This window comes from Homo sapiens, chromosome 1 (genome assembly GCF_000001405.40).
Source record: "Homo sapiens chromosome 1, GRCh38.p14 Primary Assembly".
NCBI lineage: Eukaryota > Metazoa > Chordata > Mammalia > Primates > Hominidae > Homo > Homo sapiens.
This window is the reverse complement of record NC_000001.11, coordinates 7,940,840-7,944,386: the sequence shown is the minus strand read 5'-3', so window position 1 is coordinate 7,944,386 and position 3,547 is coordinate 7,940,840. Positions and strand designations below refer to the sequence as shown.

The following is a 3,547-nucleotide window of genomic DNA, read 5'->3' as shown; positions in this document are numbered from 1 at the left end:
TTTAGTAGAGATGGGGTTTCACCATGTTAGCCAGGATGGTCTCGATCTCCTGACCTTGTGATCCTCCCACCTCAGCCTCCCAAAGTGCTGGGATTATAGGCATGAGCCACTGCACCCGGCCTATTTCTTGGTTTAGAATGAGATGCTTAGGATGTGATGAAACAGATTATTAATACTGCTTAGGATGGATGAAACATATTATTAATATTATTAATACTGCTAAAGTGTTGCTGTCTTGTCGGGGTCATCTCTGATTTAGTTTGAGATGGTTTTATGGAATAGAAAAAGCTTTTGTTGCATTTGAAAGATTACAGGGCTACAATGGATAAAGCAATATGATACATGTTATAAAGCAAATGAAAATTATACCAAAAGAGTATTACACCTTTGGCTAGCTTAGATAGTATGTATATCTGGTTAACTATATAATTTGACTTAGCTTACTACGATGATTTTATACCACACAAAAATGCATGCAGTAACATGAATTCTTTTTTTTTTTTTTTTTGAGACAGTCTAGTTTTGTTGCTCAGGCTGGAGTGCACAGGTGCAAACATGGCTGACTGCAACCTCGACCTCCCAGGCTCAAGCAATCCTCCCATCCCAGCCTCCCAAGTAGTTAGAACCACAGGCACATGCCACCACACCCAGCTAATTTTTGTATTTTTTGTAGAGACAGGGTCTGGGCATCTTGTCCAGGTCATCTTGAACTCTTGGGCTCAAGCGATCCTCCTGCCTCAGCCTCCCTAAGTGCTGAGATTACAGGTGTGAGCCACTGTTCCCAGCCATGAATTTTTTAAACGCCTGAGTAAAGTTGAGCATAGCCTTCAGTAGCAGAATTCTGAAGTGGTTGACTTTGTTTAACTGTGGGCTGGCAAAACTAATGTTGAGACTCTTTTAGCTCAGTAAAGACTCTTATGTTACTGGCATAAAAGCCTGAAATAGTGAGCTAATTACTGTGCTGGGAAACTAAATATGTCACTTTCAGAGGAAGTAATGTCTCTGCCTACAGAATGTCCAAAACGTAGACTAGTGAGTAGCATTTAGTTAAATGAAATATGGCCCAGTTAAATGTCACACTGCAATGTTAAACAGAGTACCACATGTAAACAAGGAGATTACTTGGTTAGATGGTGACTTTCAAAGTGTTAGGAGGGGATCAGCAGTCCGATTTTTATGGTGTGACACTCTCACATTCAGCCAATTTCTGCCAAAGTGGGGCAAGGAGGGATCCCACAGATGTCACAGGTAAGATAACTCTCAGATGACCGTCAGTATTTGGGAACACATTTTGCAGGCAGCTCATGCGTTTTTCTCCTTTTCTGTCATGACTTGCCCTGTGGTGGCTCTACTGATGGTCAGTGTGGGAGGCAGGGAAGGAACATTTCAAACCAGTAAGTCTGATCATAGCAATTCCTACTTTCTTGAGAACTATGTGCCAAGCATTGAGCTAAGTATTTCATGCTCATCGTCTCATTTAATCCTCACTCACGAGGAAGATGTATGGTGTCACTGCACCTGTAAGATGTGCTTGCAAAAACAGAGTTAGGGAGGTTGAGAAATTTGCTCAAGATTACACAACTGAGGCAGGAGAATGGGGAACATGAGGCGTGAGAGAGCAAAGGGAATAAAAATCACTGGGAACCGGTAACCCCCCTCACCCCCGAGAGTGGCCAGGGAGAGAGAGGCTGCCTGAGGGAAGGAAGCTCGGCAGGACCCGCTGCAGACCCAGGGCCAAGGGAAGTCCCGCGGGAGGAAACGCGGGCGCGGTGGGGCTGGCTCCAGGCACGCGGGCCAAGGGCGGGAGGGTCGGACACGAAGCCACAAGGCTCCTTTCCTTCCTCCTCCTTCCCGTCTGCCTTCTTCTGCTTCTGCGGCCTGATCTCCGAGTCCCTCTGCCTGCAGGCGGCGGCAGAACGTCCGCATCTGTCCGCATCTCAGCGCTGTCCCCCAACCGAGTCGCGCCGCGTTTTCCTCTTCTGTCGGGAGAGCTCGTGCTGGGAACCGCGGGGCAGGAGGACGGCCCAAGCTACTCTCGATGTCCTTCCCCAGCCCACGCCTGCCCCAGCCACAGTTCCCCTGGTTTTCCTGAGGTTCTCCAGCTGCTCAATGATGGGCAGGTTCATCTACAGCCTGGAGCAGCCGCCTCCTCCTCCTCCTCCTCCTCCTCCTCCTCCTCCAGAAACACCCCTTTTTCCTTCTCCTCATTCTTCCTTCTCATTCTTTCTCCTCCTCACTCTTCCTTCTCCTCATTCTTCCGTCTCATTCTTTCTCCTCCTCATTCTTCCTTCTCCTCTTCCTCTTCCCCTTCTCTTTCTGTTCTTTTCTTCTTCCTCCTCCTCCTCCTTTTCTCTTTATTTTTCTCCTCCTCCTCCTCTTCTCCCTCTTCTTTCTCCTTATACTCCTCCTCTCCTCTTACTGTACTTTTTTTTCCTTCTGCTTTCTCTGCCCTCCTCTTCCTCTTCTTCTTCTTCTTCTTCTTTTTTTTTTTTTTTTTGTGGCTGGAGTGCAGTGGCGCAATCTCGGCTCACTGCAACCTCTACTTCCCAGGTTCAAGCGATTCTCCTGCCTCAGCCTCAGTAGCTGGGATTAAAGGGGTCCACCGCCACCATTCCCTGCTAATTTTTGTAATTTTAGTAGAGACAGGTTTTTGCCATGTTGGACAGTCTAGTGTCAAACTCCTGACCTCAGATGATCCATCCACCTCGGCCTCCCAAGTGTTGGGATTACAGGCATGAGTCACCGCGCCTGGTCTCTTTCTCCTTTTTTTTTTTTTAAAGAAAAATTGAAATCATGGTTTTCTAAAAATCCCTCCTAGCTCTCAGCTTCACCGAACCACGTCCTGGTCATTGACTTGCCGTGTGACTGCTGTGCTTCCCCTGTTTCCATTTCCCTCCATTTCTCCCTCCTTCCTCCCTCTGTCACCCATGCCCGGAGGAGCACGATAAGGGACCAGGCCGACCTGGGTTCCAACCCTGCCTGCTCCCTGTCCTGTTGACGCTCTAATTCCACTTGCAGCCCCACTTTCCTCATTTGCATAGTGTTCTCCCAGTAACAACAGCAGTCATACCAAGTTCTAGGGTTCTTTCGAGGATAGTGTGTATTCACCGCAGTGCATCTCTGATGCCTGGCACATCGGCTGTGCTCAAGTAATGGCAGCTATTGCATTACAGTGACTATGGAGTTAGGGGACCGCATATGGCAAAATGCTGATCACTGTTTTGAATTTGGTTTCATTCCTCTAATCTCAAATCCAGTGTTTTAAGGACATGCTAAATGCTTTGTCCTGGAGAGCTATCTTAAGGGACAAAATCGTTTTCCCAGCGTCATCTGTGACACATCCTGACAGTAGAGAGCTGCTTCCAAGAAGCAATTTGAAGTGCCATTATCAGGCAGGGACGGGGGCTCTAGGGGATTTCGGGGTCAGCAGATATGAAATGAATGATTTCATAGGGCTGTCACAGAGCTGTGGTGGGAATTTCCCATGAGACCCCGCCCCTGGCTGAGTCACCGCACTCCTGTGTTTGACCTGAAGTCCTCTCGAGCT

General features: G+C 47.9%; 1 annotated feature.

Annotated features, from left to right (window-relative positions):
• Positions 1,705-1,844: a silencer, noted in NCBI's record as "silent region_188". NCBI's record gives its function as "represses an Ori minimal core promoter by ATAC-STARR-seq in GM12878 lymphoblastoid cells {active_cell/tissue: GM12878}" and the evidence as "EXISTENCE:reporter gene assay evidence [ECO:0000049][PMID:35858748]".